Raw genomic sequence first — 25,914 nt, 5'->3', positions numbered from 1 at the left:
TGTGCTGTCTCTTAGGGGGGAAAAGTTCGATTTTGCTCTATGAAAGGCAAGATTAAAGCTAAGAGAGCTCTGTGCTGCATTGGCAAACTTGGATTTTATAACTTCCATGCAGGCTGACTGCTGAAAAAGATTCAGCGAGGTCCTGTGGTCACCTCAGTAACAAAGTTATTAAAGCTTCCATCATCAGAGGCAAAGTGCAGGAGCCTGCTGGTAACACAGGAGAACTGAAAGGGCAGCTAGGGCTTGTGACTATAAACGTGGCTGCTGCTTCTCAGTTCTGAATCTCAGGGTTTTTTTTTTTTTTTTTTTTTCTTTTTTTTTGTCTTTTTAAGCTGGTCTGAACAAACATGCATATATGGCTACAGATTTTCCAAGAGTTGGATTAACCCCCATTTTCAACCCAAATATTATGGGATATGGTCATTATTTGGTTCACTCAAAATTTATATTTTAACAATGCATCAATGTGACAGCTACTTTCTATTAAGAGTCATTTTGTTAGACATCTGGAGTGACCAACTGTCCTGATTTGCCCCGGATTCTCCCAGTTTTAGCACCGATAGTCTTATGTCCCAGGAAAGCCCTGTCTTGGCAAATAAGGGCAGTTTGTTGCCCTGCTGCTAGCTCTAGGTTTGGACTTCAGGTCTGTATTGCTGAAGTGTCTAAAAGTGGATTTTAAGAGGACTTGCTACAACAAAAAAAAGCTGAAAATTTTTAAATCTTCACCATAAATTTCCAGCCATATTCTACTCAAAAGATGATTTTTAAAAAATAACCCAGTGATCTATTTCATACACCCGGCAAGAAATGGTTTCTTACTTTGTGGGGATAACTTAATGTATGGAGGAAATTATACCATACCTAGAAATTGGCTATAATAAATACCACTCTAGTGAGGTTCTGTATTATTATGTTATTTTTTCCTCCAATTTCCACATTTTAAAGCCTAATAAATAATACATAAAATAACAGCCAGACATAACAGCATAAAATAAAAACCTCACATTTCTTTGGTTCTGTTCAAGACCTTGTAATCTGTACACTGTAGGCAAACCCTCCAGAGTTGGAGAAATGACAAAAGCAGCATACTCTCTAGGGGCCATACCTATAGTACCCAAAAGTCTGGGCAAGAAAGGAGCCATTGGACTTCAACCAGTCCCCTTGATCCAATGCCAGACACTTCAAGAAAACCAAAAGTCTTCAGTACCTGGACCTACAAAATGAGAACTGTAGAGTCAAGATGAGAATTGGCTTCATCAAAGTTGGAAACCTTAATGTTTTAATCCTATATAATTAGACATTAGATGGTCTGCTACCTGAAGCATTTCTACCTTTCTGAAGGATTAGTCTCTTTGACTTTGTAGTAGGCAGAATAATAGGCCCCAAATATGTTCAGTCCTAATCCCAGGAACCTGTAAATACATAACCTTACAGATAAAGAGACTTCAAAGATGTGATTAAATGGAGGCCCTGGTGATGAGGAGATTAGCCTGGCTTATCCAGGTATGTTCAATCTTATCACACAGATACTTAAAAAATCAGAGAACCTTTCCTGGCTAAAAATTAAGAAGATGGGACTATGGTAGAAAGACGCATGGAGAGGCAATGCTACTGGCTTTGAAGATGGAGGAAGCTCTAGAAGCTGTAAAAGGCAAGGAAATAAATCCAACCCAGAGAGCCTTCAGAAAGGAACACAGTCTTGTTGATATTTTGCTTTTAGCCCAGTGAAATCCCTATAGAACCTAACCTATAGAATGGTAAGATAATACATTTGTGTTGTTCTAAGCCACTAGGTTTGTAATAATTTGTTACAGCAGCCATAGAAAACTAATACACCTTTAATCACAGTTGCTGTTCAATAATGCCTTGCTGGTATTTTGCTTCTAACCTCAATATTTGACCATTACCTCATGTTTAATTTTTTTCCATGTATATACTTTGAAAACTAAATTTAGCCCTAGACCAAATATACTCAAAATCCCCCTGACAGTACAGAACAATACTTCCTTTTACTTGTCTACTTTGTTTAGCTTCTTGCGTTTGTTAGCACAGAGACTACTTACATAAGGAACTACTGAGCATAACTGAAACCACTGATTTTGTATGAAGGAAAAATGCTTTTAGATGAGTGGAATATGCCAAATAACCTCTTTAAATTTGTGTGCAAAGACACGGTAGTTCACAATGTTCACAACGTCTCCCTAGAGTGCTCTGGATGTCACAATGACTGGAAGATGCCACAGCCTTTTGTGAACCAAGGACAGGGATACCAAAGATGATAATGAAGAATTGTCCCATTGGACGTGCCAGCAAACCCCATTGACAAACTCTGCTTGGATTGATTTGAAAAATTTAAGCATACTTATTAGCATGACAGAAATCAACTCAAAGAACATCAGATGCTTATAAAAGAGTCATTATTAGTAACATTTGATAGAATATGGGATGTCTCAGCCCTCACCTGAAAGACATTAGGTACTTAAATTCAAAAGAACTTGACTATAGGGCAGCAAAAGCTATACATGTATAGGTCAGTACATCTCTGACAGATCACCTCATTTGGAGATATCCAAAGTCCAAATTTGCAGACCTTATAAATATGAGTTGAGGAAAATCGATCCTCTTATCCTAAGGAAGGACTGATACCTAGTAAACATGAAATAAATACCTGCTGAATGCGTAAATGGATGGATGACTAGCTCCAGTAAAGCAAGTCAGGTTATGAGTAGGTTTTATTTTTTTTTAGCATTTGCTGTATCCCCTAAACAGTTATGTAAATAAACAATTAAAAGCCCAACAATTCAGCAAGCACCCATAATCCAATGGGGAAAGAAGAGAAGTAGGTAGAGGTAGAAATGAAACAATCCCAGCCACGAGTTGACAACCATTGAAATTGGGTGATGGGGATGTAGGCGTTCATTATATTATTCTCTCTACTTTGGTACACACTTGGCATTTTTCATAATGAAGTTACATTTTAAAATGGTGGGGGAGGGGAATCTAAGTCATTGACTAGAGAAAACTGTGTATCTTGGAGTGGGCAAACACGTTATCACCTGTCTAGGATTATGGTTATCTTTCAAGTCTAGAACAAGATTCAAATGCTATAGCTAGTTCCAAAAGCTAAGTAAGCTTCTTCAAGATGAAACCCCAATAGCATTAGATTGACCTCTTGTTGTTGTTGTTGCTGCTGCTGCTGCTGGAAAAGCCCTTACAATGTTTACAACCATCTGTTAAGAACAGGGTTTACCTTTCCCTGACCTAATCAGCCTCATCTGAGGCTTTATCTTGCACAGGGTATGCCCTCAATGTCTGCCACCTATTAATCATGTTTGTGCCGTGAGGATACATTCTGTTAAGACAGCAGCCTCAAAGGCTCTCCAACTCAGGTTTTTAGAAGAAAATGAAAAAATTCTGGATGAAAATCAATTTTAACTATCATTAAAGACAGCCATTTTTTCTTTAAATTCTGAAGTCATGTCAATATTGATAAGGACTCTATGACTGTTTCTTTCAATAAAACATCACATGCTTTCATCTATAGACCACTTAACATTTTTTTTCCTCTTTAAGTTCTGGTTAAATTCAAGATTCTAGAAGAAAATATTTTGGAATTCTTACCTCTTCAGTTCCTAAAGCCTGAGGCTCACTGGCAGATCTGGCTGTTGAGAAAGCAGAGAGAAAAACGAATTTTTTAAAAGGAAAAATAACATGATACACAAGAGCTGGATAAGTAGAATGAATGAAGTTTCTGAAACGGGGGTGGGTGGTAATGGCAATATAGTTATAAGGGCAGGAGGTCTCACAGGTTTACATTTCAGAGCCTAGAAATGAACTTTTATTAACTCTCTTTCTTTTAAGAAATAGATTTGTGAAATTGGAGTCCCTTTCTTTGTGAAATCTCCTAGCATGCAAGAAAACATGAAAACACAAAGGCCACTTAGGAACCTAGAGGAAGCAGAGTCCTTGGTGGGAGAGGCTGTATACCGATGGAATGAATAAGAACAATCTTTCCTCCTGACCTAATCTAATTTGCTCCGAGCATGACCAAAGCAGCAGAGACCAACACACTCTTGCTCCAGGTATTAGGGACAGAGTTTGAGTGCATACAGTTTGTGTGTATCTGGCCCTTTAGGAGGGTGGAGGACACGTTGGTGGTTATAAGAGTATCTTTGGCACCCACAGCTTCTATAGGCTGTTTAGAAGTAGAAGACACCTATGCCCTTAGCCACTAATGACCTCTGTGGCTATCAGGCAGAGTGGCCTACGTTTGTCCAGTGCCGAGTGTGGTTCCTACGGGAGAAAGTTCCTGTGTAGATGAGCTTCTTTATTCCTGAAAAGCTTTAGAGCACTCAGCTCAAAGGGAATTGCTAAAGCCTCAAGGAACACTTTCCCATTCCTATTTTGCAGTGTCTGAGAACAAAGAGATATCTCACATCTAGAATAGTATGAATGAGGGTGGAACTCAAATTCGCAAGGGGTTCTAGGGCCAAACGAACATCAGTGTCTCCAGAGGCCTCACATTACTTGAGACTGGCCTGTGTGCTACAATCTCAACCCAACCAATTATATTCCCAGACTACCATAGGGGCCATATGTTTTTAAATGGGCTAAAGTTATTAGAAAACCATTATCTCATGATTAATGACAGCAAAAAGAAAAAAAAAAGCCAAGGGCTAAAAACAACTTATTTTCGGAGAATGAACCCTTGGGTAACAAAGACTAGGTGGGACAGGCAAAATAAGCCTGTTCAAGGGGGTTCTGGGCCCGGCACTCATTTGTTATTGGTGATAGTGGAAGCTGGCACAACTACTCTGGAAAGCCGTCTGGTCCTGTTTATCAAGGGACCCAAATATGTTCTCAGTCATTGTTTTAGTGATGCCACTCCATGACTTTAACCAAAACAAACCCACAATGTGGACAAAGAAGAATTATCAAGGTGTTAAGAAATAGCCTAAATATCAATAATTCAACCTATTAAGTAAAACAGAAACTCCACATGATAAAATTTTAAAACAATGAATACAAGAAATTTAAACGGGCCAGGTGCAGTGGCTCATGTCTGTAATCCCAGCACTTTGGGAAGCCAAGGAGGGAGGAACACTTGTGTCCAGGAGTTTGAGACCAGCCTGGGCAACAGAGCGAGACATATTCTCTACAATAAAAGTCAAAAGTTAGCCAGGCATGGTGATGCACACCTGTGGTCCCATCTACTTGGAAGGCTGAGGTGGGAGGATAGCTTGAGCCCAGGAGAGTGAGGCTATAGTGAGCCATAATCATGCTACTGTACTCTAGCCTGGGTGACAGAGTGAGAGTCTGTCTCGGAAAAAAGAAAAAAATGTTTAAATGATGAAAAAATGCATTTTATATTCTCTTTTTACTTAACTTTATTTTAAAATTAATAAATATTGTTACTTTAAAAAGTAACTTAAAATAAGGTTATTTTATTATAAAGTAAAAAGAATGTAAAATGCATTGTCATTTAAATTTTAAAGTAAAAAATATAAAATATTATATATAGTGTGAACTCAACAATTTTCTAATATACATATTTACATATGTTTTTTCTAATATATATTTTCTATGTCTTAATATATTTTTCTAATATATATGCACTAACATGTATTATATACATAATATAAGTTGTATTATATAACACATTTTCTAGTATAATTATACATAGTATCTTTCTGATACATAAAGACTGGAAGAAAATACATCAAAATCTAAACAATATATTTCCTCTGTTCAACAGAATAACAAAAGTGGCAGAAATTGCTAGATATACCCCAACATCTGCTCTCGTCTTCTTCCATGGTTTTAATAGAATTCTAAGCTAAGCACCTACATATCAATAATAGCTACTTTCCCCAACCTCCCTTGCTGCTAGGTATGCAGTCATGTGACAAAATTCAATGGTACAGCATCAAAAGTGGTATGTGTAACTTCTGGGTCAGGGCCTCCCCTTCCAACTTCTTCCATCCTGCCGGTTATAGCAGAGCCTTTGTGACAAGCCACCTTAGACAATGAAAGCAAGAGAAACCTCATAGGAATGATAGAAAAACAGGATAGAAGGAGCCTGGCTCCCTGCATGATCTTGTGGAGCACAGCTACCTTACCAGTCCTGGGCCATCCACGTCCGGATTGTTACATTAAAAAGAAGTAACTTCTAACTTATGTTAGCCACTGTGAAATCAGGCCACTGTTACATGCAGTTCAACTAACAATTTAATTAACAGATGGAGCCATTTTTATTTTTTCTTTCAAATTTTCAATAATTTCCACATTTTTCAATAATCAGTATGAATTACTTTGATGATCAGAAAAAAACTAAGTTAAGTTTTGTTTACTAATGTTAAGAAAATTAAATATAGAATAAAGTTTGGGAAACATGTATCTTCTTTCCACATATGAGAGGAAAAACGAAATCTATAGTTTAAAAAGTTCTGCTTTAAAATCTGATTGAGGCATATTCTAAGCAGTAAAACTTTAGTCAATGCATTATAATTATTCATTTCAGAGGATACCCGACTTTTTTTTTTTTGAGACAGAGTCTTGCTCTGTCACCCACGCTAGAATGCAGTGGTGTGAACGTGGCTCACTGCAGCCTCAATTTCCTGGGCTCAAGCAATCCTCCTGCATCAGCCTCCCAAGTAGTAGCTGGGACCACAGGTGTGCACCACAACGCCCAGCTAATTTTTTTTATTTTCTGTAGAGACAGGGTGTCTCTACGTTGCCCAAGCTGGTCTCAAACTCAGGGGTCAAGCAATCCTTCTGCCTCAACCTCCTAAAGTGCTGAGATTACAGGCGTAAGCCAAATACACCCAGCCAGACTGTTTTTTTTTTTTTTTTTTGAGACAGAGTCTCGCTCTGTCACCCAGGCTGGAGTGCAGTGGCACAATCTTGGCTAACTGCAACCTCCTCCTCACGGGTTCACGCCATTCTCCTGCCTCAGCTTCCCAAGTAGCTGGGAGTACAGGCGCCCACCACCACGCCCGGCTAATTTTTTGTATTTTTAGTAGAGAAGGGGTTTCACCGTTAGCCAGGATGGTCTTGATCTCCTGACCTCGTGATCCGCCCCACCTCAGCCTTCCAAAGTGCTGGGATTACAGGCGTGAGCCACTGTGCCTGGCCCCAGGCTTCTTAAAGTGAATTTAGAAACAGTCTTAAAAACAGATTTGTGTGTACACTCATACCTTTAATTTAAGGGTGCTATTGGTTCTTCACATGGAATCATACTGGATTTCTCCTACAGTAATTCCACTAGCCCAAGAATTTGGTTTTATTTTCCCCTGGAGTAGTAATAGATTTGGCAGAGCTCACATAACCTCCCTGGTCTCCTTTGTATCCCACAGGCCTGCATTACAAGATGACTGTCCAAGATAAAGGAGTCGTACCTAGTCCATAAAACAGAGAAAAGATATCTTGCTTACTTGGGAATCAGATCTGAAACAATGGCCTCATTAAAACTAGCCTCTAACCAGATTAGAATAATATGCTGAGATCATTTAAACCTGCAATAATGTTCATCAGCAGCATTTGGTGCCTTTTAGAGGATCATTAAAACCTTGTGCATAGGCACACAAGACACTCCACAAGGTTGACCTTAGAGACTTACATGAAGTCATATATCAGAGAAAGAAACTATTTTTCCCCTTTTTCCCAAGAGAATGCCAAATGATCCTTTTCTCCCTTGTGAACCACAATATCCAACACTAATATGGCTAACCTATATTCAATAACAAAGGCAGGATGCCAGGGTTTCTTCACTTCCCTCTCAGAATGACTGTGCCAGTGCATTCTTGAGAAACCCCTTCACTCTCTCCTGCAGTAGGCAAATTGAAGCTAATAGTCAAAGCTCTGAATTCTCAGTTTCTCTCCCCCTCTTGCTTTTGCAGGAACATAAGCAAGCCAACTCAACAGGCCTAATTACCATGGTAACAACATGCACCGTGATTATGAGTGTGTTTGTTTTTTAAAATGACTCACAGATTGTTCCCCCAGAAGCCCCAGACACACAGGTTTCTGGCTGGTTTATAAAATCCATCTGAAGTTTTCTTGCAAATATCTTGTGCCTAGTATCATAACTGGTGTGATGAAGAGAGACTCATCAAATCAAATATGCCTTTCTCCTTAAGGATGAAGAAAAACCCATTTTATTCCTTAAACACTCCAAGATTAATCAATTTAAACTTCAGGTTTATAATGAAATTAATTTGAGTTTGTACACTGGAGATAATTAATCTGTTCCTAATTTAAATAATTAAGGTATTTCATAATGTGATTTTAGAGACCCAAATGAAATAATCAGGTGAAATAAACTGTAGTGAAAACTATAAAATAAAACAGCCTAAATCTGTGGGTACATGACCACATGTAAAGTGTTATAAAAGAATAGATGTCAGTCTTAATACCAAGATGTTTTTAAACAAATCTACAAAACAACAGCATCTATTTTTAAAATGCAAACATGAAAGAGTCCAGACATTTGGAGAACAGTGCACTGCTTCCACTCATCTATTCAATAAATATCATTTTAGACCTTCTATGTACTAAGCACCATTGTTTATAACTGGAACATCACAATAGGGCTTAGGGAAGACTATTTTCTCATGGGAGGCAAAGGCCATGGGCATGGCTCAGCGCGTTATCTTCTCTTAGGAAGCTCCTTTGCTTCACAAGGCACCATTCTGGGTAAGGCTGTCAGTGAGAGGGAACATTACCTAATGATTATACCAGGCCTGCAGTTCAGAGTCCTAACATCGGCATCACAGTGGACTCCCTCAAACAACAACAAAAAATAAAACATATATATGCTAGTAATTTTGATATGTTGATTTCTTCTGTGTGAAGTGGAAATAAACCCTATTTTAAAAGAAATGTAAGTGGAATTTATATAAATCTATTTCGCTTAAATCCCTCGATGCTAACATATAATACATTACACACACACACACACACACACACAAAATAGTCATTTAAAATTATTGTATCCAAATAGCTACTGCACTGTAACCAAGAATATATTTTTTCTCTAGAGTTTGAAGGGAAAACCAGAGAGTTTCAATCCATATAGGCTAGGTTATACTGTGGCAACAACTCAAAAACTCTCTGGCTTATTTGAGCAAAGCTTATCTCTCACTTTCTCTCCATGTCCACTGCGGTTTAGCAGAGATGCTCTTTGTGTTGTCTTGACAGTATGACCCAGGCTTAAGAGTGCAGAGAACACTTCTATCCTTCAACCACTGCACTCACCTGCCGGTTCTTATGGCTTCTTCCAGGAAGTGATGCACCTCACTTCTGTTCACTTCACTGGCCAAGGCAAGGCATGTGGCCACACCTAACCAAAGCAGACTGGGAAGTGGAAGCCTATCCTGAGCTGGAAAGGAAAACTGGAGATATTGATGGCTAAGCACATGGATTCCTGAACAAACAGCACAAACCCAGACTATTACTTCATGAAGTCAAAACGACATCCGACAATAATAGGCTTCCTTAGGGGATGCCTTATTCCAAGGTCTGAGCACCTATGATTAATGTTGGGCCATAACAATCACTTCTGCAGAATTTGGTGCAAATCCCTTGGATAGAATAAAAGATACTCTACTGCAGATTTGTGATAACAATAAGTTATACTAATAATATATTTATTTTGAATAATTACACTACAATTCAGGCACCTTGCTAAATAAACATTTCACATTTATTATGTATTTTTCTCCTGTCAGTTTTGTGAAGTAGATATTATCTTATTTCCCATTATAGATGAAGAAACTGAGGCATAGAAAGCTTAAGCAATTTGCCCAAGTAATTCTGACTCTAAACCAATGTCCTTTAACTGCTACACTCTCCTACATGTTATCTTTGAATGTTACTTTTCTACACTTCAGTATTTTATGATTATTTTAAGATGAATAAGAAAAGACTAGTTGGACCTTTTTTTTTTTGCCTAGGAATTTTCACCTCTACTTAAATTTTTCTTATTTTAATTTTAAAAGACATAGAACTGTTTAATATCAACTTTTTTCCAAAGAAAAAATAAAAATGTCAATGAAATGCCTTAATGCCTATACACAGCAATGTTCCCTAAACACAACCGTCATTCATGAGGTTTAAAAAAACGGCAAAGGACCAATTTAATTCTCCCAAATAAAGCCTTTAAAATGAAAGTGAGGGTTTCGGTTTAAATTTTTTCACAATTTTTCTTATATGGTTCTAACATAGATCAGATAAATACTCTCCTTAAACAGAGCTCTGTTGGCAAAGTCTAGAATTAACTTACTTTCCTGTTTAAAAATGCAAATCTAAGAGTAGGAAGCACTCCATCATTTATTTTAAAAAGTACTCCTACCATTAATGCTTAGTCTGTTATGATGAACATGCACAGAAATACACCTTAGAGACAAGTAGTCAAAACACTGTAATAACAGCAATTCCACTGAAATTTCCCTTTTTCACTATTGCTGCCTCATGTGCATAGCCTCTGAAATATAATGCCAAAGTAGGAAGCAGCAACCATAAAGAGAATGCGACAGTAATGGAACTGTATATGCTGCCTCCGGAGCTGGAAAGTGGAAACTATTTTCTAAATAACTCATAATCAGAAATTCCAGAGATGATCCATTCTTCTTTACAGGTACTGTAATCAACAAAATACCTACCTCTCTAGAGAAAACAAGGTTTTCATTTAAGTCTGACAGATACTATACACAGAATGCTTGGCGTCTCTAGCTCATTACTTGGCCCAGGGTAGATTTTTATATAGACCAAATTGATTTAAATGACCAGTCAGGAAAATGCAATTTAATTATATATATATTTTACAATGCAGAAATGCAGGGCTGGTTGTCTAAATTAAATGCCATTCTTATTGCTTTATAGGACCTGATGTATTTCCTTCTGGAATATTTTGTTTAGAAGGTTATTCTTTACTTTGCCTAGCTTTCTCCAGTCTGTGTTTTTCGCCAGGATTCTTCCTCTGGCCTACCTAGATCATTGCTAACAACAAAAACAAGTTGTTTTTTTTTTCTTAATATTTTCTTTTAGGTTCAGGGGTACACGTGCAGGTTTGTTATATAGCCAAAAACAAGGCTTTTGTTCGTGTTTTTCTCAAAGGGAAATGCATGGAAACTTTGTTCAATTCAATGTTGTATGATATTGCTCAGTTATTTAACCTTTTTAGTCTGGATATCTTCACTTATAAAATGGGAATAATAATAGTGGCCAACTCTATTGACTGCCTACCCACTAACCCCCTCTTCCTTGCTAATAGAACCAGACCCTTTTGCTGGGGTCTGATGACTTTGTTCTTCAGCGAGCCTGGGCTGCTCCATGGCCTCGGGAGGAAACTCTTAAATTAGCCAATCACAGTGGTTCTGTCTGCCTACTTACTCATACATATAGCATGTGAGTTGTGAGTGGAAATTCCACTGGACACAGATTTTCTGTGACTTTAAAAAGAGCCGCGGCAGGGCAAGGTAGCTCAGGCCTGTAATCCCAGCACTTTGGGAGGCCGAGGTGGGTGGATCTATTGTGCTCAGGAGTTCAAGACCAGTCTGGGTAACACGGTGAAACCCCATCTTTACTCAAATACAAAAATTAGCTGGGCATGGTGGCACACACTTGTGGTCCCAGCTACTCAGGAGGCTGAGGTGAAAGGATCAGCCTCCCACCTGCAGGCTGAGGCTGCAATGAGTCATGATCATGCCACTGCACCCCAGCCTGGGTGACAGACCGAGGCCCTGTTTCAACAAACCAGAAAGAGCCACATAAGAAATCTGCTGCACCTTGATATGCCTCTACGTATTGAAATATGCCTATAATTCCAAAATTGTAGACGCCATGTCCACACAGTGAGGGGAAATCAACCTGCTGAAGGTGTCACAGTGGGAGGAAGGGAAGAATCCAGGTTGCTAAGGACATTATCCAGCTACCACATAAGTAACTCTGAAGCTACCCTCCTATCAGAGGTCTTGCGATCAATTTCCTATTGCTTACGCCATTTTAGTAGGACATTCCTTTATCAGCAGCCAGAAATATCCTGATAGAAAAATATTGTCCTTATTTCGTAGGGTTATTTTTAAAACTAGCTAAAGTATCCAGCACAAACTGAATGCCTAACAAATGTTCATTCTCAACTTAATTCTTGACATATGTTAGTCTTCACTTATTCAAATTAGTTAGTGCTTTCTTTACTCTGTGTGGTCTGAATGACTCCTCTAGGAGGCTTTCCCTGGTTCCCCAAAACAGGAATAAGGGCAGAAGTCATTGCTTTCTCCTCTTTATTCAAATAAAGATAATATCAAGTACCTAAGGTTATTTTAAACAATAAGAATGGTATTTAATTCAGACAAGTAGTGTAGTGCTGATTGCAGTGTAGAGAAAAAAATGTAATCAAACAGAGTAGTCTTCCTGACTGTGTAAATCAATTTGAACTAAATAAAATCCAACCCAGATCAAGTAATCAACACAGCAGCCAAGTGTTCTGCATTTGGAGTCTACAAAGTTTATCGAAAAGCTGCTTTCTGTAGGGAAAAAGACATAGTTTGTAGATTACAGAACATGTATGTGAAGAAGGACACATTTCCTCTGAAATCTCACCTCATTCTTATTTCAGAAAGGCACCTGCACCTTCTGCTCAAAACCTTCTCCACAAGCCCCCTTCGCCCCAATATCTTTACATGGCTGAATCCTCAGCATCATTTTGGTCTCAACTCAAATGTCACCTCTTCAGAGAGGCCTTCAGGGATTACTCAACAAAGTAATCTCCCAATTACCCCTGCCAGCATAGGCACAGTCCCACCATTCACCCTGTTTCTACTTCAATCCATCAAAGCACTCACTACTACTTGACATTTTCTTTTATTGTAAGTCATTTCTGTCAATGGTTCCAATCCTGGTTGATTCTGATTTAATTACTCTGAGGTGAGGTTGGGACATGATATTTTTTTCAAACTACCCTCTCAGTGATTTCTAATGTGCAGTTAGACCTAAAAACCACTGGTTTATGTGTTTACTGAGTCTCTCTCAATACTCGAATGTAAGTTTCAAGAAAACAACCGACCAGTTTTGTTCATCCTAGTCTCCCTGGCATCTTGACGAGCACATGGCACATTGCAGACATTAGGACTTTGAACACATCGATTAATTCTATTGTAATTATATTTCTGTATTTGTCTGTTTTCCCCATGAGTTTGTGAGCTCTTAGAGGACAAGTACTATGTCTAGCCCACTCTGCATCAAAAAATGAGTCACTCAAGAATGTTCATTAAATAAATGAATGATAAACAAACTGCATTGTGTGGTATAAGGAAGACAAAGATGAAACCAGATGTGACCGCTGTCCTCAAAGAGCTTGGAGTGTGGTCAAAAAAAAAAATTATGCAGATTGCTGTTATACACACTAGAATGAGCTAGATGCTGTGATGAAAGAACAAAAGATTTCAGAGGAGCATTGTTTTTTTATTGGGGAAAAAAGGGAAGAAACCAAGGGAGGCTTCATGAAAGAGGCAGCATTTGAACTGAGCTTTACAGGACAGATGGAATTTGGTTATTCAGAGAAGTAAGACTGTGGGGACAAAGTGTGGAAGGGGAAGCAGGAACTAACTTATCCTAGGCGGAGAGAAAAGAACTCAAAAAACAAGTCAGCCCAGCTGGAGGTTAGGAGGGCCTCAACTAAGACACCGGCTATAAACATGGAAAAGAGTCAGTATCAAGATATTTTCCCAATCACAATTGCAAGGAGCCATGCAACTTCCTGCAACTAGAGGTGCTTGGTGAGGAAGACAGTGAAGTTGAATTGTCATAACTGAGGTAATGATAAATGGGGTGTCATTAACAATTATGAAATCAGGTGAGGAGCTGGTTTTGAGGAGTGGGAAAGGTGATGGTGAGCACAGTTTTGGACATGTGAGTTTCATTTTCTGTGGGTTGGATGTTCTGGTGAATTTGCAGGCAGCTTGCTGTACAAGCTGAGAGAGGAGGTGAATGATTAGGATGCTTCATCAGATTTGGGACTGACCCACACAGCAACAGTGACTAAAATCACAGGACAGAATTTGATTAGGGAGAGGGAGAAATTAAATGGCCAAAGACTCGTATCTTGAGAACACTCATATTTGGGGAGCAGGAACTGAAGTTAGTGAAGTTGGAGCCCGCAGAGAGGTAGGAGGAGATTTGTTTCATCTACTTCTTAATTACTTTGTGTGCGTATGGAAAAACTAAGCATGTTTACAGGGAAAGAGGAAAGGACCAAGAAAGAGAAGAAACTAAATATGTAGGAAAGACAGAATTATTGTCACAACATAATCCCTTAGAAAGTAAAAGGGAATGGGATAGAGAGTCCAAGTAGAGGGTTTATTCTTGGCTTAAAGGAAAGATGATGTTAATTTGACTTAGGAGGAAGAGGAGAATGAATGATGTGAATGACGCAGATCTTTCTGTCCCCCTACATACCCATATGTTGGAACCTGATCCCCAGTGCAATGGTATTAGGACATGAGGCCACCTTTGGAGGTGATTGGGTCATGAGTATGGAGTCCCATGAATGGGATTAGTGCCCTTATAAGAGAGACTGGAGAGAGCCAGCTGGCCCCTTCTGTCATGTGGGGACACACAGAAAGTGCTGTCCACGGCCTTTGCCAGACATCAAATCTGCCAGTACCTTGATCTTGGACTTTCCAGCCCATAGAAGTGTAAAAAAAAAAAAAGATTTCTGTTGTTTCTGGGTTACCTCATCTTTGGTAATTTGTGACAGCAATTCAAATGATCTAAAATAAAGGAAGACGTGGGGAAATTCTAAGGTGGTAAGAATGAGGTTGAGGAAGTCTGTAATATGTGCCTTCTCAGAAAGACAGAAAGTGAGGTCACTTCTAACGCACAAAGGCAGTAGGGACTTGGTTGAATGGTTTCCATTGAAAATGCACAGGACAGAGTGAAAAGTGAAATAAAAAAGGAAGAAGGAAAGAATTTTGAAAGAACAGCAATGGCCCTGCGGAGATGCAGTGAATCTAGAGTAGAACCAGTCAGCCCAGTTTTCAGCCCCTCTCCTCTACCTCTGAGTGCTGGGTTCCTGGGAAGAGGATCAGGGGAATGCCTGACCCCACACCCGGGCTGGCCAGGGAGCAAGGGAAGGCCAGGGAACAGGGAAGAAGTGGTCAAGAGACTGGTTTTTCAAAGCTTTTTCATTAACAGCTTGACTGTTTACACATATTTGCCAAGAGATAAAGGGGCTGATCCTGTCTTATCTCCAGCCTCTGTATACAGTAGTACCACTTCTAAGAAACATGTTATCACTAAAGTTTGAGAATTGAGCTCCCTTTTTTTTTTTTCAGTGTTTAATGAAGTCCTCTAGAGATTGTCTGAACACTGACTCCCACTAAATACAACTTGTTGTCTTTAACATAAGAATTTTCAAGAACCATATATTTACAGATATCTCTAATACTCTTACCTGAAAATTTAAATCTCTATTCCACAGTGGCATCTTTCACACCTGAACAAGTTTGTACACAGAAACTCCATATTTACATAGGGTACTAAATGTAAACCGTCTACTCTTTTTTTTTAAACAAAATATTTTAGTCTTACAAACAATTTTAAATGTGACAACATATAAAGACTTTGCCCTAATATGAGGTAAGTGAAATGGAGTTGTAACTGGGAGGTGAGGAATTAATGAACTGTTTAACTCTAAATTCCAGGCCTATTTTATTATCCCTTATGAAGAGGTCAATATAGGCTAGGTCACCCCCCAGATCATTTTTAGCTCTACCATTCTAGCATGTCCTAGGCCAGGGACTAAGTCCTTTATAAATTTTTTATTATATTTTTAATTGAAAAATAAAAATTGTGTATATTTATGGGGTACAATGTGATGTTTTGATACATGTATACATTGTGATGATCAAATCAGGCTAATTAACATAGTCATCATCTTGGAGGTGAGGGTGGGAGGGTGGAGACTAAATCTCGACACAGCTCTGCAACTCTCCTCTCCCACCCAGATCTAGTAAAGACAGGCACCTGGCTTCTCCCAGTAATTGTAGAATGAATAGATGTGCACATTAAATAAAATTAGGGGTCATTATTTGCAAACTTCCCTCCACCCCTGGCCCCCAGCACATGGACAAAGTGCATTACAGAAAGTTAACATTAATTATTCAGGAGCTCTTCAAACCATTCAAGGTCAACGTCTGACCCCACATCGTAAAGCTCAGATACTGTTGCTATTCAATAGGGTCCCTGCTAATTGTTCTGCCCAGCTCTCCTCAGCCTCACCATACCCTGCCTCACCAGTTTAAGGATTAGGAGTAAAATCTGTCGTGGAAAAGGAAACAGAGGATTCATTATTTTTAAAAGTGAAATTTTGGTTAGGATCACACTTCATTAGTAGAAACTTGTTGTCTCAGAAACTTGTTGTATTGTTTAACTACTGTAGCCCCTCCCCACAAGTTACTGCTCCCCCTTATAAAGGATTTCAGAGCAATTTAGTACTTTAGTTTCTCCCCTCCCTTTCTGGCCATGATACCTACTGAGCATTTTTCTCTAATGAGGGGACCAGAAAAGCACTGAAGAAACAGCTCTCCAGTGCCTCCGTAGTGGTAGCCTGGTCTGAGATTTGACCAGCAGAATCACTGGTGTGACTGTCTACAATAAAGGTTTGAATTTCACTATCAGGTTCTGGACATCACCAACTAGCAGAAGCTATGCACATTTTCTTACTCTGTCCTTTTGATTTCAAATGTTACTTTTGAGAGGAGTATTTTATTTACGCAGGGATAATACTGTTGTATAAAGGAGGTTAAATACGAAGATTATGATTATTATCTAATGACACATTATGTTAAAAGATCCTGCCATTTGCAAATGTCTCTTCAAAAATTTGATTAAAAATTTGCAAATATTCTCAACACAGTATTTCTGGGGAAAAACATCAGCAAGGAATATGAATAGACATTTTTCTAAGAAGATATACAAATGGCCAATGAGCACAAGAAAAGATGCTCAACATCACTAGTGATTAGGAAAATGCTCATCAAAACCATAAAGAGATACCACTTCATACCTCTTAAAATGGCTATTATCAAAAACATAAATAAAAAACAAAATAAATATTGATGAGAATGTGGAGAAGTTGGAATCCTTGTTCATTGCTGGTGGGAATGTAAAATAGTGCAGCTGCTATGGAAAACAGTATGGCAATTCTTCAAAAATTAAATATATAATTACTGTGTTCCATCATTTTCACTTCTGGGTTCCCAAAAGAAGTAAAAGCAGGGACTCTAACAGATATTTGTACACCCGTGTTCATAGCAGTATTATTTACAATAGCCAAAACATGGCCCGAGTGTCCATCAAAAGAGAATAAACAAAGTATAGTCTATACATTCAATGGAATATTATTCAGCTTAAACAGGAAGGAAATTCTAGCACATGCTACAACATTGATGAATCTTAAAGACATTATGCTAAGTGTATTAAGCCAGTCACAAAAGGACAAATATTGTATGACTTCACATATATGGGATACTTGGTCACATTCATAGAGACAGAAGTAAAATGGGGGTTTCCAGGAGCTGAGAGAAGGAGGGAAAGAGGAGGTATTGATTAATGGGTATAGAATTTCAGTTTTGCAAGATAAAGACAGTTCTATGGATGGACGGTGGTGATGACAGCACATCAATGTACTCGCTACCACAGAACTGCATACTTAAAAAAATAGTTAAAATGGGAAATGTTATGTTATGTATATTTTATCACTATAAAAAAAGTCTCCCTAAACCTGTGAGGCAGTGGTAAAGACCAAGAATATGCTAACTTTTCCTTATGCCACCAAGGAAGAAAAAAATAACATTTCAGTACCTTCTATGTAGAAATCACTCACTTATCCGCACACAAAAGCAAAAACAAAGCAAAACAACAACTTTGATTATGTATTACTAGCCCTTCTTTACAATGAGGAAACTGAGGTTCCTAAGTTAATGTACCAAGGTAAGTAGTAAGAACCAGTAATAGGTTTCAAAGGCAGATCTGCCTGGCTCCAAAGCCTGCGTTCTTTTCACTCCACAGTGTTTTCTCCTACCCACAGAAGTCTTTTATGAACAGGCTTTCTACTTTGACTATACAGCTTTTAGACTTAAAAGTTGGGCCTGCTTTCTGAAGCAGGCTAAACAAAGTCAGTCAAACAAACACATTCACTACATGTCCACCATATGAGGCCCAAGGCTGGCAATGAAATAATGGAGTCATGTTTCCATTCAGCCATTGGCCATATGGCAGAAAAAAAAAAAAAAAGCACAATTAAAATTTCTGTGTTGGTCTACTCCTCAAAAGCCAGTGAATACCCCAGGAAAAATCATTAAGTCTTTCAATATTCCATATGGCCAGAATAAGTGGAAATAGTTTCATTTTACAATGTAGAAGCATATTCATCTTTTTCCTAAACATTCTACCATCATAGTTACTGATCTGCTGTTACTCACTAATGTTCTGCTTCAAGCTGGAATTTAACGATTAAGAAATGTTTTGTGCTGTGCAGAAAATAGGCACCTCTTAGTTGTTTTCAGAAAGATAGCAAGGCCCTCTTGACTCTACTATGCCCGTCGGGCAAGGTTTCATTTTCTTACTCATGTGTGAAACACACACAGAAGACTAATGCAGATTGTCTGTGCCTCCCCAAACAAAGTAGGGTGTTGGCATTATCTAGTGAATACAGCCTGCAGAGGAGTAAGTACCAAAGGGTAAGCCTGTCCTTATCCATGCAGCTCAGGTTGCCAACTTTTTACTTCATTTCATGATGCACAGCTTGATTCTAGAACTCCACTGGGTCATTCTGGATCGAAGATCTATCCTAGGTCTCTTCTCTAAGAAGATGATCTTTACATACTTCCCTTTAAGATGCAAATAGGAAGTGGAACTGCAAAATCCATGTCACGACTTGTTTTGCCCACAAGTTTGATTAAATTCAGTGAATCCTTCAAGGAGTTCCATGGTTTCAATACTAGCAGTACTTTGTCTCTTAGGCATGGTGCAGGTTTACTTTAATGAGCAAAAAACCTCTGAGAAATAGACTTTTTTTTTCTTTAGTAGCTATAAAAGCTTCCCATCTCTCAAAATGTGCTGCTACTCCACAGATTTTGAGAAGCCATATCGATTTCATAAAGATAGCATTAAAAATAGCCCTATAGCTCTTAACAAGTGAGAACGATGATAAAGGAGGAGGCATATACATACATACACTCTCAACTAGCATATTTGGTATCTAAGAACCTATGTTTCAAGAATCTGTGAGTGTCAAAATATTGACTTTTTTTAAATTTTTACTCCACTATAAGCAGTTTTTTCTCTTTCTTTTGAAAAATTATCTCCTTTCATTATAGAAACTCTAGAAGAAAAACCCTTTTATCAATGACTACTTACTGCTTAACTGTACTTTCTGTTGAAGATTAAAAAAGCTTAATTCTTTAAATCGTGCTGCATGAGGGTATTAAACTCCCTAATATATCCTGTCAGAGGAATCTCACAATCTCAGTTCTCATCTGCTAGACCTATTTAGTGTACTTTTACATATCATTCATAAATATGAACAAGTCATAGACCCAGGCTCTCATTAAGAACATCCTTTGCTCAAGAAAATCAAAGAATAAAAATCATGTTCTGGTTTTACTACTTCAGTCTATCTACCAGATATTCGCGTAAGGAAACAACCCAGCTGCACTTTTTTATTTTGTCCCTCACCGAGGCTAACATGCACCTTGACCTAGAGGTGAATAAAATGCATATAAACATAAAATCCATGCATATGCTAGTATCTGATTCTGGACAAGTTACTGGCCTTAAACCCGCCACGCTCCTTTGAACAAGGATGCAACTTTAGGATAAGACCTACTGGCAAATGATAGCTGTGTCTGAGGTTATCCTGAAAGCAGCTGCACAAGCTGAGGGAGGAAGACACTGTTTTTTAATGGTAAATACTGCCCCTCACATACGCAATTCAAGCCTTTGTTGGCAAAATCTAAGTACAAAAGAATTTAACTCCCCCAAAAGCCAAATCACAGCCATTATTTTTGCAAAACAGAAGATATCCCAGTGCAATGTGTAAGAAAGAGAATGCAATTAATATTTTACACCACTCACTCCCCTAAAACAAGGGGACTGCCGGGCTCCGATGACCAGACCACAGCTTCACAGCCCCAGATGGATTTCGACTCAGCCCTGGTTTTCCTCCGAGAGAACTATACAAACAGCTTCTTGTATTTAGCATGTTGGCCTGTTTAGTCATCAAATCTAAGCACTGATGATGAGGTTTTTTTAAATCAAATGTGTCATAAATGTGGTTATTCTCAAAGACCCTTCCAAAAGAATCTAATCATTTCCCCTAGTCCTGAAGCGATGTCTCTATCATCCCTTAGAAATCGGACCTTAAAACCACAAGCGACGGTCGTTTTTCTCAATTAAAAACGAGCAACATGGAAAACGTTTCATTTACCTTAGCTCCCGAGGCTTGGTCCGAGGAGCGTGGTTTTCCCCTCTCCGGAGCTGATCTGTGCAGGCGAGCTCCGGCGCAGCCCAGCCCAGCCCAGCCCAGCCCAGCAGTAGTAGGAGTTGCCCACGGAGCGCGGCGGCAGCGTTGTGAGTATGTGTAGCAGCGGCTGCAGCCCAGGGACTAGTCCCCACCCAGCTTTGTCTTCAATCAACGTTCTTTCTACAGGAAGCAGCGCATCTCCCACTTCCTCCTCTTCTTGGTAGCTGTTAGCGGCTTGCTTCTTTTCCCTCTCATTTCCATTTCAGGGCTTACTCTGGTGGTTTTGTCTGCTCCTGGGCTGCTGACAGTGATTTGACTTTAATCCCCCTTCTCCCTTTGTTCAAGTCCCTCTGGTGCTGTCTGTTCCTTCCTTCCCCTTTTCTCATCCCCCCACGGTCACCTCCACGACAGCTTCCACACACTGCTCAGTCGGCCCCCTTCCTGGCACACTGCCTGCTTTTTTAGCCTGAACCTGGCTTGTTGCTATTGTTGTTCTTGCTGTTGTTGTTTCTACTGCTGCTGCTGTTTTTTTTTGGGTCAACATCCCCTGGCCAGGTTCTGGCCCCCGAGATCCCACACCAGCCTCCACTGTTCCTCCTGATTTACTGTGGTCCCCATCAAGCCAGCTAGCTGGGAGCTTGCAGCTTGCAGCTTGCAGCTTCTCACTGCAGCATTTTTCTCTGTGGCCAACATTTCAGAGGCTTCATTTCTCCAAGGTCCCACTACCACTGAGATCTTACTTAACCCACATGCTCAGAAAAGAATGGCCCTGATAAGTATTCTTATGGGGCACGGGAACTAAACCAAGTTGGCAATGCTACCTATAGGCCTAATAGTGAGGACTATTCCCAAAAGATTCTCATAGATGGGAAGGAATGAGGTGGTGCTGAATGCTGCACATTCCCAACAGAGAAACTGAATACTCCTCTCCCCATTCCACACACACTAGTAGGGCTGAAGGACCCTCATGATCCTCCAGTCCCTTCCCTTCATCTTAGGAGGTAATATCGTAGAACCCACCAGGGTAGAGCCTGCAAGCTGTCTCTGTCTGCCAGAATTTCAATCCAAATTGCCATTAATGACTGTATGAACTTGGGCAAATTATTTAACATCTATGTGCCTCAGTTTCCTCATCTGCAAAACATAGTTGATGATAGTCATGCTCTACATTGGAAATATGAGGATTAAATGAGATGGTATACAAGGTGCTAATAATAGTTCTGGGGATATAGGACGTATTCGGCACATATTAACTCTTATTATTTTTAGAGGATGTTGGGCCTCACATTCAGCAAGTGATTTCGCCAGTCAGCAGCCGAACCCTCACCAGTACTTGGTTTTCCAATTCCTCACTATTAGTATGTTCACAATTGAGCCCAGATGCTTTAATAACAATTTATTCAACGTGTGAGTCATTCTCCCCCTAGTACTAACACAAGGTACTTTGGGGAAGCTACAGATTAAACATGAGATGGGGGAAGGGGAATCCTGTTCTAGTGTCCAGGCAACATTATGGAGTTAAAAACAAAAACAACAACAACAAAAAACACCTCTTCTCAGGAATCAGTGCCTGGAAAGCTAATCTTGCCAGGAAACAGTTAATTCCCCAACTCCTCCTTTTTAATCCAGTTTTGCCTTAATCCTCCAGCAAGTAAACTAACAGGAAATGTTAGAAATCTAGGACTGATGGAGAATAACTCTCCAGTTGAGCCTTCCAAACACATCGTGAGGACCACAGCACGTTAACCTAGAAGGTACAGAATTTAATTTCTATGAAATGTTCTGAGACAGTCCCAAAACACCCTTTGTTTTGATTTGAACAGTTTGCTTATTTTTTCAAGGAAATCTTTCATCAAAAAGGACCCTGATGTCAACTCACTCACACCTGAAAATTACAAAATGGATTGATTTAAGATTGAAAATGAGCAACTAGCTTTGATCCACCAGCAGATAGAAATGCAGTAGTGAGAGGGATTGGGCATGAATCCACCAACATGTGAGTTATCTCCAAACCAGGAACCCTTGTGCCAAAGGTTACCAGGAACTTTTAAATGTAAATTTAAATATGCATGATGCCAAGTCTAAGAAAAATGAGAAGCATGTTATTAATGGTTGGAAACAAGACTATGGTTAATTTTAGACAAGTAGGTTCTGGCATAAACTCTAGATTCAAGTACAGTAATTTTTTGTGTCTTTTTGTTTCTAACTCTCTCTCAACCATCCTCCGATGGTTGGTATTTATATTTAAGCCTATATAGGTTGGTATTTATACTTAAGCCTATATAGGAAAACCTCTTTCAAACAATAAAATCTCTAGGAATTTTGCCTGCTGCCTTTTAATTAGTTCTTCCATCTCTGGCCCTTATAAAACTCACAGTAGGTTAATCGCCAGTGTTGGGAGGTGCCAACAAAACTCTATACAAAGCTAAAAACTAGATTTTAAGACCTCTCTTTCATTAATACCTCATTGCTTTTCAACTGGTCCTAATAGCCTCTTTTTCAGGAGAGAAAAGTAAAGTGTGGGGGTATAGCTTGGCCAGGATAGATTAATCCAGTTTAGAGCTCTTAACACAAGTTTGCATACCAAGTTTGCAAAGTGTTAATTTCTTAGGAAAATGACATCTCGCCATTAATAGTTTATGCATCAATTGCTAACCATGAGCCTATCCCAGTACATTTTATCACTGGGTAAAACAAAGTCTGTAAAATACTCTAACATTCATGCATGGCCTATTTGCAGGCATTAATACCTTGTATTTCTTACATCTACTGGTAGCGGAGGTTGGGTAATGAGGAGGACATAATTTTGGCCTGATGTCTCTCCTATGTTATTGAGCTTTCTAGCTGGATGTTCCTTGGAGTTATGTTTAATAATCCCCAAATTATGTACTATACCTTCATCCAAAGCCTGTTCCTCTTTCTATATTCTCCATTTCATTTAATGAGGAATACAAACCAGTTGCCCACATCAGGAATATAAGAATAATCCCAAAACCTTTTATCTTTGTTATCCCAATCTGATTTAAAGTTCCTCTTCCTTTCCTTCTCACCACCAAACTATCTCCTTGCCCAAACCCCTCCTCTCTCTTCCTCTTGCCACTGTCTTATTTTACAAATGCTTTGGTTTTTTCTGTGCAATTACAATACTTTCTACTTTGTCCTCCTACCTCCAGTCTCTCTTCGAAGCCATCCCCATCAGAAGTACATTGCTGAGATGGAGAGTTGATCAAGTCACTTTCCTACTATAATTCTTCAGTATCTTCCCCTCCAGGTTGCTTACAGGATATATGCCTTAATTCCTCTGCATGGCATACAAAGCCTTCTGTGATGTCACCTGTCCACATTCTCACCTTAGGGCCTGTCGCAGCCTTATATCCTACAACCTTCACAACAGGTTCCTGATGGGACTGTGCTGCTTTCTCCCTGCATCTTGGCACATGCTATTTCTGTTGCCAGAAATGCCCTATCCCTTCCTCTATTTTGCCTGCTAGTAAACCCCTACTTATCCTTTAGGACTCAGCTTTTCTCAGAAGCCTTCCCTGGCCGTGGAAACTAGGCAGGTGCTTCCTTTTCTGTGAGTATGACTGGTGCCTTGCCTCTACTTCCATTTCAGCACTAAAGCCATTATTTTCAGGTTTTGTTAGATGTGCATCTCACCCATTAGCATTTGGGTCCATTAAGGTTAGGTCCACATTTGCTTGTCACACAGCAGAGTCAACAGATGTTTGTATAATGAAAAGGCATCATTGGCAGAAATTCCATTCCTTTGAGTGAGGGGAGGAAAAGGAAGTCTCAAAAATGAGAAGTTGGTCATGGGGTAAGAAATAAAATCCCTCCCTCTCTATATATATATTTTGCAAATTTTCTATAGAAATCCATGGCACATGCACACAAAATTCTGAATATTTGTTATATGGGCAAGCCTAAAAAATTCTGGGACAACTCCTAGTTCCATTTCTGCATTGAACTTCTTATAAAGAAGCATAGTCTGGCAACAAAAAAGTAATTAGAAAATAAATATTAAGGCTGGGCTCAGTGGCCTATGCCTGTAATCCCAGCAATTTGGGAGGCCAAGGCAGGCAGATCACTAGGTCAGGAGTTCAAGACCAGCCTGGCCAACACAGTGAAACCCCATCTCTACTAAAAATACAAAAATAAGCCGGGTGTAGTGGTGCACGCCTGTAGTCCCAACTACTCAGGAGGCTGAGGCAGGAGAATCACTTGAACCCAGGAGGCAGAGGTTGCAGTGAGCCAAGATTTTGCCATTGCACTCTACCTGGGCAACAGAGCAAGACTCCGTCTCGAACAACAACAACAAAAAAGAAAAGAAATATTAAAAAGAAAGCTATTCTTTATTTGTATCTCTGTAGGAACTTTAAAGAGACTGATGAATAAGCTAGAAACACTTCTCACATCCCCTTCTGCACTCTCAAATCTTTGCCACATTCCAACTGTCCCAGAGCATCTCATATGCCAAATCCCCAAACTCTTTAATCTCTCTGCAATGCTGTACACCTCCTTCTCTCTCCTCCCCCGCCATGCCCAGCTAGTTCTTTATTTTTTCATTTTTTATTTTTTTGAGACTGTCTTGCTCTGTTACCCAGGGTGTAGTGCAGTGGCACAATCTCAGCTCACTGCAACCTCCACCTCCCAGGTTCAAGTGATTCTCCTGCCTCAGCTTCCCGAGTAGCTGGGATTACAGGCGTGTGCCAACCCACCATGCCCAGCTAATTTTTGTATTTTTTGTACAGATGGCATTTTGCTATGTTGCCCAGGCTGGTCTTGAACTTCTGACCTCAGGTGATCCACCTGCCTCAGCCTCCCAAAGTGCTGGGATTACAGCCTAGTTCTTTATTTTTTGATTGACTTGCCTTCTGTGGCTGAGCCCTCCCTACTTTTTCTTCCCTGTCTCAGCTTTGATAGGTAGGTCTGTTGGTCAGTCTCTCTCTCTCTCTCTCTGTTTCCTATCAGAAAGGAGCCATCAGCTGTGCCAGCAAAGCCAGCCCTTGAGTGCATGTGTGGGCTGCAGGGAAGAAGGAAGAGTAAAATGGGAACAAAAAGGTAAATCCATGTAGTCATAAATCTTGTCCACTCTTACACATTGATGGTACATTTAATGGCTTGCTTAATTGTTCAGCTGAATAGTAATCAAGAATAAATAAATTACTGAGCTGTTATTTTATCACAGAAAAGCTAGAATTCCAGGCATTTCTTGGATCAGCTAAAGGGAATAGAAGCCTCTTTAAAGAGTTCTTCAAAAAGATATAATCATGATCTGATCTGTGTGTCACAGGATCATTCTCTCCCTCCAGACATCTGAGCCTAAGCCCAGCTGTTAGGAGCCAAGAAGACTGAATCATATTTGGCTCGAAGAGAGTCAGGGGGTGGGT

General features: G+C 39.5%; 1 protein-coding gene across 15 annotated transcripts in view, besides 4 other annotated features; it reads right to left on the bottom strand.

The window, feature by feature from the left end:
• GNG2 (G protein subunit gamma 2) overlaps positions 1-25,914 on the bottom strand; it is a 143,622-nt gene that overhangs the window by 88,517 nt on the left and 29,191 nt on the right. For 4 of the 15 annotated variants that reach the window (XM_047431488.1, XM_047431487.1, XM_047431485.1 and 1 more), the window contains exons 1-2: positions 20,489-20,667; positions 3,622-3,662 (exon numbers count right to left, since the gene is read on the bottom strand). The exons of 1 other annotated variant lie outside the window; for it this stretch is intronic. The gene's annotated coding sequence lies outside the window, so the exon portion shown is untranslated. Of the gene's footprint in view, positions 1-3,621; positions 3,663-7,196; positions 7,398-7,989; positions 9,380-19,888; positions 19,956-20,488; positions 20,668-23,691; positions 23,812-25,914 lie in introns of those variants that run through there. 10 more of the 15 variants (NM_001389707.1, XM_024449633.2, NM_001389708.1 and 7 more) reach the window with 7 other exon arrangements.
• Positions 14,638-14,857: an enhancer, noted in NCBI's record as "active region_8383". NCBI's record gives its function as "activates an Ori minimal core promoter by ATAC-STARR-seq in GM12878 lymphoblastoid cells {active_cell/tissue: GM12878}" and the evidence as "EXISTENCE:reporter gene assay evidence [ECO:0000049][PMID:35858748]".
• Positions 20,547-21,048: an enhancer, noted in NCBI's record as "H3K4me1 hESC enhancer chr14:52326949-52327450 (GRCh37/hg19 assembly coordinates)". NCBI's record gives its function as "activates a minimal SCP1, AML or CMV promoter by ChIP-STARR-seq in primed H9 embryonic stem cells {active_cell/tissue: H9 hESC(primed)}" and the evidence as "EXISTENCE:reporter gene assay evidence [ECO:0000049][PMID:30033119]".
• Positions 20,551-20,760: an enhancer, noted in NCBI's record as "active region_8382". NCBI's record gives its function as "activates an Ori minimal core promoter by ATAC-STARR-seq in GM12878 lymphoblastoid cells {active_cell/tissue: GM12878}" and the evidence as "EXISTENCE:reporter gene assay evidence [ECO:0000049][PMID:35858748]".
• Positions 21,101-21,180: a silencer, noted in NCBI's record as "silent region_5741". NCBI's record gives its function as "represses an Ori minimal core promoter by ATAC-STARR-seq in GM12878 lymphoblastoid cells {active_cell/tissue: GM12878}" and the evidence as "EXISTENCE:reporter gene assay evidence [ECO:0000049][PMID:35858748]".

The sequence above is a fragment of the Homo sapiens genome, chromosome 14 (genome assembly GCF_000001405.40).
Source record: "Homo sapiens chromosome 14, GRCh38.p14 Primary Assembly".
Lineage (NCBI taxonomy): Eukaryota > Metazoa > Chordata > Mammalia > Primates > Hominidae > Homo > Homo sapiens.
The sequence above is the reverse complement of the archived record's forward strand: the minus strand, read 5'-3'. Positions and strand labels throughout refer to the sequence as shown.